The 12,608-nt window shown below is 43.4% G+C and overlaps 1 protein-coding gene across 3 annotated transcripts in view; it reads right to left on the bottom strand.

The window, feature by feature from the left end:
- ARFGEF3 (ARFGEF family member 3) overlaps positions 1–12,608 on the bottom strand; it is a 182,725-nt gene that overhangs the window by 69,724 nt on the left and 100,393 nt on the right. For all 3 annotated transcript variants that reach the window (XR_001743524.2, NM_020340.5, XM_047419108.1), the window contains one exon: positions 11,329–12,239. Coding sequence is in view for 2 of the 3 variants with exons in the window: in NM_020340.5 (NP_065073.3) it covers positions 11,329–12,239 (911 nt within the window). In the remaining variant the exon portion in view is untranslated. The remainder of the gene's footprint in view (positions 1–11,328; positions 12,240–12,608) is intronic.

Here is a 12,608-nt window from a genome sequence, read left to right as displayed (position 1 = left end):
GACGGGGTTTCTCCGTGTTGGTCAGGTTGGTCTAGAATTCCCGACCTCAGGTGATCTGCCCGCCTCAGCCTCCCAAAGTGCTGGGATCACAGGTGTGAGCCACCATGCCTGGCAAGGCTGAGGTGCATTTTTTTTTTTTTTTTTGAGACGGAGTTTCGCTTTTGTTGCCCAGGCTGGAGTGCAGTGGCGCGATCTTGGCTCACCGCAACCTCTGCCTCCCAGGTTCAAGCAATTCTCCTGCCTCAGCCTCCCGAGTAGCTGGGATTACAGGCATGCACCACCATGCCTGGCTAATTTTGTATTTTTAGTAGAGATGGGGTTTCTCCATGTTGAGTCTGGTCTCGAACTCCTGACCTCAGGGGATCCACCCGCCTTGGCCTCCCAAATGTTGGGATTACAGGTGTGAGCCACCACGCCTTGCTAGGCTGAGGTGCATTTTAAAAGGAAGATCAGACTGCAAGTGAGATCTGAAAACTACATCCTTGGTTAGAACATGAGCAGTGTATCTCAGCCCTGATGGTCCATGGGAACCCCTGGCACTCTCAAGGTGCTAGTGGGGCTGATTCCAGTTATCTGGAGGAGACATAGGGCACAAGACCAGTCTCCTTCCATGGTAAAACAGAAAGTAGCATTCAGGATTGGGTGTTTAACTACCCTGGATCATAGATGAAAGGTACAATTGAGTCTATCAACAAGAAAAAAAAATGAATCTGTAAATGGCTTTCATTTTAGACATCAGTAATAATTCCTTTCAAAATGTTGAAACCAACTACTAATTACCTTGGGATGTTTTGGAAAACTGAGCACTTGCTCAGATGCTGAAAGTGAAAAAGGCCACTAATGTGAGTGTTGACATGGAGATCAAAATCAGCAGAGAAGTGAGGAAGCCCTGGCAGGCACTGCTGGTGGAGACACCCAATAGGAAAGACTTTGTCAGGTTACCTTTGTTGCAGGTAATCTGTTGGTACCAGCCTACATCTGCAGGCAGACTAATTTCTTAAATTACAAAGAGCTGGCAAATTTGTAAATAAAACAAAATAAGGTCTATTTTGTCAACTTAAAGAAAACAGCCATTTTCTTGCTATGTCAGATATAGTTTACTGGTGATATTGATAATAATGGAAACATGATAAGAATAATTTATTAAATGCTTTCTATTGCCTAGAACCAGTCTCTCCTCATATATCATTTTCTAATCCTGCCCTATTGTTTACCAGTAAGGAAAGTGCCCCAGAGACAGTAATTTGCCCAAAGTTACACGGCTCAAAATCGGCAAAGGTCTTTTGGGCCCACACTTCAGGTTTTTGCACTAGCCACGCTCTACTTGCTTCGAATGTCATGAAAAGATTCTGCCATATCCTGTACCTCTCTAGTAGATACTCTATTTTCCATTCTTCCCTCTGATTGGCCTCACTGACGTGCTATCCAATTTAGAGTAAGAAACTATAAGAACTATGACCTTTAACATATTCTGACTCTTTGCATTGCCCAGTGTTCAGTAACTAAAGTTCATTCTCTCTCTCTATAATTAAGATGTGCTTTACTGTGGAAACAGGAGGATGGATCACCTACTTGACTGCTTACCAGGGAAAGATTAGATACAAGAGTAGCACAAGAGACCTCTTAAAATCTCTTCTGTGTCTAAGAGAATTTGGTACTTCTTTTTTGGATAAACATTAATTTAGAACATTTAATAGTACTGAAGAGTATAAAAAATAAGAACAGTAGTCCCCGCTTCTCTCAAGGCCCAATGATACCTCTAACAGCAAGACTCACTTCCTTGTGTGTATGAAAATACCACAAAGCGAGATCACACTACATATGTCAAACTGTAACTTGACGTTTTCTAAAAATATGTGTTAGATGTGTCTCGATATTGACACTTCTGGGTCTGTTTCATTCTTTTTTAATGACTGTGCATATACCACTGCATAGTTACATTGTGGTTTGATTTATTTGATCTTAATGCTCTATTGGTGGACATTTATGTTGTTTCAATTATGAAAAATACTGAAATGATGAAATTAATGTTAGTACTTCTGCAAGCGTACTAAAAGCAGAATAAGTATATTAAGTTTAATAGATACATACAAACTATTTTCCAAATAGATTTATACCAATTTTCCCACCTACCAACTGTGCACAAGAGCACTCTTACACCCACTCTCAGCAACGCTGGGCATTATCAGCTTTCTAAACCTTCGTGATAAGATTACACAACTTTGCTTAGTCACAGATTTATTTAAGTCTACGGCTCTAATTTTTACATAACATTACTGCTTTATCTTCTGATAGAGGTTGCAAGAAATTCTTTTAGAGATTTGGAAAAGGCACAAAGAAGAAAATAATCTGTGATAACACCAGGCTGAGATAAGCAGTATTAACATTTTAATGTGAATTTTAAATCCTTCTTTTTAAAATTACATGATATTTTTTCATATCATTAAATATTACTGGAAAACATCATTGTAAATGGCTATATAGGCCAGGTGCAGTGGCCCATGCCTGTAATCCCAGCACTTTGGGAGGCCAAGGTGAATGGATTACCTGATGTCAGGAGTTCAAGACCAGCCTGACCAACATGGTGAAACCACGTCTCTACTCAAAATACAAAAAATTAGCCAGGCGTGGTGGCGGACGCCTGTAATCCCAGCTTCTCAGGAGGCTGAGGCAGGAGAATCGCTTGAACCCAGGAGGCGGAGGTTGCAGTGAGCCGAGATCGTGCCACTGCACTCCAGCCTGGGTGACAGAGCGAGACTCTTGTCTCATAAATAAATAAATAAATAAATAAATAAATGGCATCTGCTAGTATGCTATAAATCTCTGCCTGAGTTTCTGTTCCTTTAGCGTAGGTTCCCAGGAGCCAGTGAGATGCCAGGTATCCACTGGTATTTTCAAGTCTATCAGGATTAAAAAACTCACACATTTGCTGGGCTACAGTTTTTCAGCCACCATGGTTTCCCCAACCCCCTGCAACCAGAGCTAATCAGCTCCAGAGGTTTCTGTGTTCTTGAACAGCATCTCCTAGATAATTAAAAATCCTCTAAGAGAAGCATGTGAAGAACAGCTTAAAGATCCACCAAAAGGAGAAATTGAGTACATTGTGGTAAGTTAGCAGGAATGGGTATCATAGAGGCATCCTAAGTCATATTTGCAAAGAATACTTAAAGACACAAGGGACATGGCAACAAAATATTAACTAGAAAGTAAGTTACAAAATTACACATATGACATATTCATTCCCCTTATCCTGGTACTGTGCAGTGTAATGAGCATGCTGTCTGGAGCCAGGTTCATATGCTGGTATCACCGCTTCCTAGCTATGTACATACCTTGGATGACTTATTACTTAACCTGTGTCTCAGTTTTCTCATCTGTAAAATGAGGATAATAGTGCTATCTACTTTATGGGGTTGTTATGAGTATTAAATGAGTTAATATCAGTAAAACCTTTAGACAATGCAGGGCATATAGGAAGTGCCATGTTAGATTAGCTATTATTATCATCATTATTATTGTAGATACATGTAAATAAGTACATTCATATGATGAAAAATGACTGCAAAGAAAGATGCCAAGATATTTCAGAGTCAGCTTCTAGGTGGTATGATTATTTATTTTGTGTTTTCTTTTTTTGTAGAGACGAGGTCTTACTACGTTGCCCACTATGTCCTCCCACCCTGGCCTCCCAAAGTGCTGAGACTATAGGAGTGATATCTTGTGTGGTTTTTATATTATTGTATTCTCTAAGTTTTATATTCCACAATGCCAGGTGTTGGTAGAGGATTTTGTTAGACTACTTATTCTCCATTCCTGCTTCTAGAATACTTCTCTTCCTCCATTTATTAAAGCAAGCAAGCAAACTCTCAGCCTTTGAGGCGCCTATCATCTGGCCAAATCTTCCACCCATCCTTGAAACTCTCCTTCATGATATGCCAGACATGGCCACATTCACTGACCACCCTGGCTTGGAGTCTGTGGCTTCCTCTTCACCCCAATGCCTCCTGCCCTTCCTGCCATTATCCTGCACGACTTCAGCCTCTAGATGGCCAAATCATCCAATGCCAGGTCCTTTTAGAGTCTTGACAGCCATGCCATCCATCATTCCCTCTATTCCGCCTCTTCCCACCCATAGGCTCCTACAGTAACACTCAATCAATTCACCCCACTCCAGTGTTCTTCCTGCAACATCACTGATTTAGATGGCCCACTCTGACCAGAATCTTTCTGCTGGCTTGCTCAGGCACTCACACTACAGCAGATTTTGGATGAATCCTCACCTTTCACCTACTGTACTACTGCATTTAATCTGCAGAATAGATAAAGTAAGTACTACTGTTTATCATACTTACATTACAGGTAGGCAATGTGATGCAGGGAGAGGGTCAGTAACTTGCCCATGGTCACAGCTGTTCAGTGCTAGAGCTGGGATCTGAAGTTAGATCTCAGAAATGGCTAGAGCCCAGATATATATATGTGTGTGTGTGTGTGTGTGTGTGTGTGTGTGTGTGTCTACGTAAAATTCCTGAAGTTAGAGCTCAGACATATTTATGTCTATATAAACTCCTGAAAATTGGTTTCATTCTCCCCTTTTCTGTCTGAGACAACATTCAAGAATGGAATTCACCAATGACATTACAATAAGGATAACTCTGAATCCATAGTTGGTTTTTACAACAAAATATGGTGCTGTATTAGAAACTGCTTGTTACTATATAAAACCATTTTCTTCTTACTTGGTAATAGAATCATGACTTTACTTGGGCTTGCAATGTGCCCTGTCTCCTAGGAGGGGTCAGTGAACTTGAGGTTGTTGTGTGGCGCTTCCAGAGAGCTCCTGAAAGCAGCCGTATTTAGCTCTCAGGTGGCTCCTTTGCTAGCCTTGCCCCCTTCCTTCTTGCTCAGACTATAGATGAGAAGCCAGCAGCTCCGCCAGCACCAGCTGTCTCAGTTCATGAGGAAACCTGAGGATGACAGTCACCTATTAACAAGAGTAGAGCAGAAAGACAGGAGCACCTGGGTCCCTGATCATCATGGAGCTCTGGAGATCAGACCTCAGACTCAATTTAGAGGAAAGGAAATGAATCTCTTTCCTTTTGTAGTAATATTGCCTTTTTTTTTCTTCTTTTTTTGAGATAGGGTTTGGCTCTTATTGCCCGGGCTGGAGTGCAGTGGCACGATCTCAGCTCACCGCCACCTCCGCCTCCTGGGTTCAAGCGATTCTACTGCCTCAGCCTCCCGAGTAGCTGGGCTACAGGCACGCACCACCATGCCCGGCTAATTTTGTATTTTTAGTACAGACGGGGTTTCTCCATGTTGGTCAGGCTGGTCTTGAAGTCCTGACCTCAGGTGATCTGCCACCCCTGCCTCCCAAAGTGCTGGGATTACAGGCATGAGCCACAGCGCCAGGCCGTCATCTGCATTTTCTATAGATGCAAAGAAACCTAATCCTAACTGACAGAGGCAGCATAACATACTCATTTATTTATTTGAGGTTTTCTTCCTGTAATTTTACCTTCTGTATTATATAAAGATAGCAAGGTAAACTTGTATTTGCCATCTTTTGAGGTGTTTAAACCACAGAGCCAAAAACTGAGGCTGGTAACGGCATAAATGCCTTCCTGGTTGTGTAGTCACAAAGCTAGAGCTCCTTCCAGAGACTTCAGCCCATTCCTTAGAGGGTGAAGAGACAGGGGAAGAAGCGGTGAGGCAGAGAAGGGAGAGCCCAGGCTGGGCAGAGGTTGCAGGTCTGTGGCTGCCCACCGCCTGGTAGTACCTGCAGGGTTGGCGGGACACCCGAGGAGGGAGGATAATGGTAGCAAAATCACGGGACCCTTAGGGAGCCTATGACTGGAGATAATGGGGGCTCCCTGGTGATATAAGAGGTGAGGGGGCCTCCCCTTACAGATACCACACAAGCTCCAGCTTCTGGTTTGACCCTGGGATGAGAAATAAAGGGAGGGCAGAGACCAAGTGTTCTCCCTGCTAGGCAGGCTGAGGGGCTACAGTCAGCTTTGTTTTAATGTGAAGAAATAGATATATCTTGTACAACTGAGATTTATACTTGCTACACTATCTTTTAGGAAATCTGGTACTTTATAAAATATTGCTTGCAGCGAACCTTACATTTGGTCAAAGTAAGTCACAAGACTGCAACTGAAAACCGCTACTCTAAGGAACAGCAATCCAAAGTCAGTGCCGATGACCCTTGATCAATTGCCGTGCAAGGCTGGGACCTTCCTTTAGTGCTGAGGAACCACCTTACACAGACGTCACTTTGTTCTATCCAGGATCAAAGAGGCATTTCTGCAGCAATCGCAGCTCATGTCAAGCACTGTCTTTATAAAAAACGTACTTTATTTGCCCGAACATTTTCAAACTCCCCTACCATATGAAACTTTAATTGCTTTGAAAAGAAAGGCTCTCCTGAATCCTGTAGAATTAAGGAGGCTCATTTCAATGGCATATTAGCTGTCTGAAGATAGGAGTCACTGAGAAACACTGAGTGACTGTGATTCAGCCGAGAAAGCAGCCCCCTGATAACAGGGTAGGGATGAAGGCTTGATGGACGTTTATGACAAAGTGAGGTTTGAAGCTTTTGACATCAAAATAAATAATGAGTCAAAGAAAGGGTTTATAACTCAGGGAGTTTTTCCCTTCTCCCACTCTTCTGTTTTTACTTTCATAACTTTCTCTTAGAGGAACAAAGGAAATCTGCCATCTCCCTGTCTCAGTGGAGCATAATGTTTTCTCTTTTGTTAATTTTTAATCATGGAAGTGGCACTTGCAAGGGGGCAAGAGGACATGCCTCAGTCCAGAGATGGATACAGGCCAGCACCCAGTGGCTGAAGGGGTAGCCAAAGCAACGATCAGTGCCACCAGTTGAACCACAGCAGTGATGGAAGAGAGTTAGCTGTTGGTAACAGGACCACAGAGTGATGGGTCTGTAATTTGGAAAGAGAGTCCAACTCCTGAATAGAAAAATACTGTGATGTCACTAGAATTAAATAGACCTACAACTAAATTACAGTCAATAAAAATGATATTTGAAAACAACCAAACATTTGTGAAGTCTCTTTTCAATGTATTGATTTTTACGTTTAAAAAATAATTTCATAAAACATGTTTGGTCTGATGGGAAATTTACGGAACTCTAAAATTTGGGCAGTCTGCAACATTTATTGGGCCATATTCTGACCACATAAAAAATTCACACAAGCCCTGTTTTGCATGTACTATAAATAAGTATTGATTTGAAAGGTACAAAGACACAAAACTGAAGACCTGCTTTAGCCTCAAATTTTAAAAAGACTTTGCTAGGATTATATTTCTTAATTCTTATAAGAAATGAGGGTGGTCCCTTGGAAGTCAGTCCTCACCACTGTGACAATTCATTCATCTGGAATTACTGGGGATGTGTTGATAAAGAAGTTATCTGAGAGCTAAATTTTATATATTGTGCTGAAACTTCGGCAGTGGAGTTATTTTGTATGGATAATTTTAATTTTTTTTTCTTTGAGGCGGAGTAGCTCTGTTGCCTAGGCTGGAGTGCAGTGGTGCAATCTCGGCTCACTGCAACCTCCGCCTCCTGGGTTCAAGAGATTCTCCTGCCTCAGCCTCCTGAGTAACTGGGATTACAGGCATGCACCACCATGCCTGGCTAATTTTTTGTCTTTTTAGTAGAGGCGGGGTTTTGCCATGTTGGCCAGGCTGGTCTCAAACTCCTGGCCTCAAGTGATCCATCTGCCTCCTGGATAATTTTAATTTTAAATAGAAGACCCTGACTATAATTTTACTGTTTCTTGATGGCTCAAGGCCATCATTATTACTGCAACCAGTGGCCATGCTGCACTCTAATACACAGCTATTCTGGGGACTAACAATGTTTGCTGGGCTCTCTGCCTTGGCACAAGGGACACCAAGCTGGTCAGAGTAGCCAAGGCTGCCAAACGTCTCCATATGAATATTCCCAGCTGGGAAGAGGCAGAGACTCAAAGGATCCACCAATCGCTTCCAAAGAACAACTTGAGAGGCTTTATGTACAACTCCCTTAGCTCATGAACTATTGCACATCTTTTTTTTTTTTTTTTTGAGATGGAGTCTTGCTCTGTCACCAAGGCTGGAGTGCAGTGGTGCGATCTTGGCTCACTACAAGCTCTGCCTCCCGGGTTCACACCATTCTCCTGCCTCAGCCTCCCAAGTAGCTGGGACTACAGGCGCCTGCCACCACGCCCAGCTAATTTTTTGTATTTTTAGTAGAGACGGGGTTTCACCATATTAGCCAGGATGGTCTCGATCTCCTAACCTCATGATCCGCCTGCCTCGGCCTCCCAAAGTGGTGGGATTGCAGGTGTGAGCCACCGCACCCAGCCGAACTATGGCACATCTTAAGAGACCAAAAGGCTTGGTGTAGTGGCTCATGCCTGTAATCCTAGCACTTTGGGAGACAAAGGCAGGAGGATTGTTTGAGCCCAGGAGTTTGAGACCAGCCAGAACAACATAGTGAGGCCTCATCTCTTCTTTATTTCCTTCTTTCCAACACAGTGAGACCCTTTCCCTTCTCCTTTCCCTTTTCCCTTCCGTTTTCCCTTCCCTTCTGCCTTCCCTTCTTTCTCTCTGCCTTGCCTTGCCCTGCCCTGCCCTGCCCTCCCTTGCCTTCCCTTCCCTTCCTTTCCTTTCTTCTCTTTCTCTTTCTTTTGTTTCTTCTCTTTCTCTCTTTCTCTTTCTTTGACAGGGTCTTGCTCGGTTGCCCAGGCTGAAGGGCAGTGGTGGAAACATGGCTAACTGGAGCCTCAACCTCCCAGGCCCAAGTGATCCCCCCGCCTCAGCCTCCCAAGTGGCTGGGACAAAGGTGCACTACCATGCTTGGCTAATTTTTGTATTTTTTGTAGAGAAAGGTTCTCCCTATGTTGCCTAGGCTGGTCTCAAACTCCTGAGCTCAAGCAATCCACCCGTCTCAGCCTCCTAAAGTGCTGGGATGGCAGGTGTGAGCCATCATGCCTGGCCAATACCCTGTATCTATAAAATTAAAAAAAAAATTGCTGGGTGTGGTGGTGCGTATAGTCTCAGCTACTTGGGAGGCTGAGCCACTGCACTTCAGCCTGGGCAACAGAGTCAGACCCTGTTACAAAATAAAAGAGAGAGAGACCGAAGTACAACTTCATCAATTTACAATCAATAAATATTTATTGAGAATAAGCTGTACATATCTTGGGACCTTAGCATATAGCACAATTCGGCTTCTCTATAAATGTTGGTTGAAGGAGGATTTGGGTGGGTGTGTCTGAGAGAGAGAGAGACAAAAAGACAGACAGACAGACACAAACATGCACAAAACACACCCCTAGAATGTTCAATAAGAGAATGTCAAATTTAATGACAGTGATATAAAAGATCTTAGGGAGAAAAATAATTTTTTAGGAAGAGTATACATTTTCCTAGTCTTCCAATAAAACGTGAATTTTGTTACACACACAAATAAAAAAATCCAAAATTTGTTATATTTAACTCCAAAAGAAAAAATATTGAGGAAAAAAATATGTTAGGTAGCCTTAAAAATTGATGTGAAATTAGGAAATAAGGTATGAAATTCTTAGGAAATAAGAATTAGGAAAGTTGAGAAATCATGTCTCTTTACATCCTTTTCTAGGTCATGTGAAAATTTCTGGAGTAAAAATTCTGTGTCTCCTTTGGTGCTTGCTACAACTTTGGATAATTCTCTTATTAAAAAATGTTCCAGCCGGGCGCAGTGGCTCATGCCTGTAATCCCAGCACTTTGGGAGGCCAAGGCGGGCGGATCACAAGGTCAGGAGATCGAGACCATCCTGGCTAACACAGCGAAACCCTGTCTCTACTAAAAATACAAAAAATTAGCCCGGTGTGGTGGTGGGCGCCTGTAGTCCCAGCTACTTGGGAGGCTGAGGCAGGAGAATGGCATGAACCCGGGAGGCGGAGCTTGCAGTGAGCCGAGATTGCACCACTGGACTCCAGCCTGGGTGACAGAGTGAGACTTTCTCTCAGAAAAAAAAAAAAAAAAGGAAAAAAAAATTTGTTCCTTCTTATATATACAGAGATTTAAGTGTCTTTTTCTTGTCCTCTTGAAAAAGGACAATTTGGTCAGCTTCTTAAAGATACTTGTTAAGTTACACATCAGTCAGCTTCTAACCAAGTTCCAGTAACTGGGCTACAATTTTTTCATGTATGTGTGTGAAGTTTTGTTAGAAAATAAAAAGGAAGTGAGACAAGGTCTCAGCCCTCAAAGAGCAGGGAGTCTAGAGAGGGGAGGGTAGAAGGGATGGTGGATGCATTAACACATGACTGTGATAAATGCACCAAGCACAATGACAAACACAAGTTCAAGGTTAAGTGGTAGAAGAGCAAGTGGTGATCATGGCTTTTTAGCAGTTCTGTGTCAGTTCCCAGGGTCAGCCCTTTGGATCTGAGCACAGGCTTAGGGAGATTCATTTGCCCCAGTATTCTGTGGTCAAGAGACCCTTGTACTTGAGGGAAAGGCACAGATGACCTCCCTGGTACCATACCAACATTTATTCCCACCATAAATTTTATGTACCCATTAATTTATTTCTTTCTGTATTATCTTTCAAGAACACTATCTTAAAAATAATTATTTACTATGTGAAATGCTACTACTTCCCTGTATTCTTTATCTGCTTCCTCCACCAAAACTCTAAGTGATTCTCTTCTGCCCTTCAATAATACCAGCATTATTTTCTGATGTGATTTGCCCACTATTCCCCCCAGCACCACTGTTTACGGTCTGAGTCACAATTCAACAGATGGAAGGATCTGAGATGGGAGAATGCAACGTTACCAAGCTATACTAGACTATCACACATTGTTCGAATGTTCACTAGAATTCAGAATATATTGGGAGGACTTGGCGTGCAACTGATCCAAGACAGCATTCAAAATTGTTTACATTTTGATACACCAAAAGTACATTGCTCTATGAATTTTAGACACCAAGACATAGAAGCATACTGGGAATTCAATGTTTTAAGAATTACAGATTGTCATCTTGTTTCAATCAGTAGCACCTTTCTAGAATGCAGCTACTTCTCATTCTTTACTTTACATCCTATACATTTATCAGCCTCATAGTATATTCCAGCCATCGACTGCTGTAGAATTCAAATAAACCACCACTAATAGGTCTTAGATTTCTTCGCCCTCTTTAAACTGGGGAAACCCAAAGATACATTAATATGCTTTGAGCACGTCAAACTATAAGCATGATAGTAATTGCCCATTAAGGCAAACTGCTCTGAATAATCTTGTTGACTATACAGCAGAGAATTGTTTACAAACCTGAGCAGAAAGTAGAGGCAAAGTTCTGCAGAGCGGTGTCCACCTCCTCTACATTGGAGAGAGACAGGAGCCGAGGGAGGAGGCCTTCCAGGGACTGTATGAACAGCCTGGCGCTGTGCTGATCCGCCTCCTGGTTCTTCAGCAGTTTTAGAGACAGGGCGGCAGTTCGCAGGGACCGGTGGCCTAGGCAGTCCCGGGGTGTCTGCTCTTCATCGGCTAGTGAACAGTTGTCCGACCCAATGTCTGACACGTCGGACCTGCCCGAGTCCTTTTCTGCTGCCATAGAGTACTGATCACAGGAATCAAACTCTGTCCTAGAAAGGTCTTGGTCATCAACGCTAAAATTGCTCTCACTATACCTAGATCCATAGGACCTTGTCCTGCAGTCTACTGACAGGAAGTTAGTTATGTCAGGGTAAGGGACCGTGTGGCTTCTCTGCACGACATCTGGCTGGTCTACCGCCTCTGTTTCCAATACTTTGCTCAGCGTCTCCTTACCCTCTGGGATGGCTGGCGACTTGAGACTGTTCTTGTGGTTTCCCGAATGGTCCTCGGGTGTAGTCTGACCCAACTCTCCCTCGAGAGTGGTCTGGCCTGTGTCTGTGGTGACACTGATGCTGATGTCAAGGCTCCTCTCGTTCCCTGACTCCCACGGCGTGTGTTCTGAGGACAGCACTCGCCGCTGCCAGCGGAAGTCAGCCTCATTGATCTCCATGGAATCTCGGCTCCACTCAGCCCCATCCTTCAGCTCCTCAAGGCGCAGAAGCAGCAGTTGCACCTGACCTTCGCTCAAGCCCTTCCCCTGGCTGAGCTCATCCAGGGCACCCAGCAAGGTGCAGACACAGGACACGGCTGCATAGCAAGCTTCGATGCCACCCTTGATGCATGCTTCGGTCATGCCATCCATGATGCTAAACAGTGTTCAAAAGAGAAAATGGAATAAATGCATAAAATGTAGAAAATATCTCTGAAAGGAACAAGAGTGTTAGCCTGGCAAACAGCAAAGTATTCAAAACAGATAGTCTGATTTGAATAAAACAAAATGGTCTGGGCAATGAATAAAAGAAACAAACATGCCTAGGTGGGCAGAGGAAGATCTTCAGATAAAGTGGCCTGCATTGGCCGGGCACAGTGGCTCACGCCTGTAATCCCAGCACTTTGGGACGCTGAGGTGGGCGGATCACTTGAGGTCAGGAGTTTGAGACTAGCCTGGCCAACATGGTGAAACCACGTCTCTACTAAAAATACAAAAAATTAGCCAGGTGTGGTTGGTATGTGCC

Source organism: Homo sapiens, chromosome 6, assembly GCF_000001405.40.
Source record: "Homo sapiens chromosome 6, GRCh38.p14 Primary Assembly".
NCBI lineage: Eukaryota > Metazoa > Chordata > Mammalia > Primates > Hominidae > Homo > Homo sapiens.
This window is presented reverse-complemented; position numbering and strand designations above follow the sequence as displayed.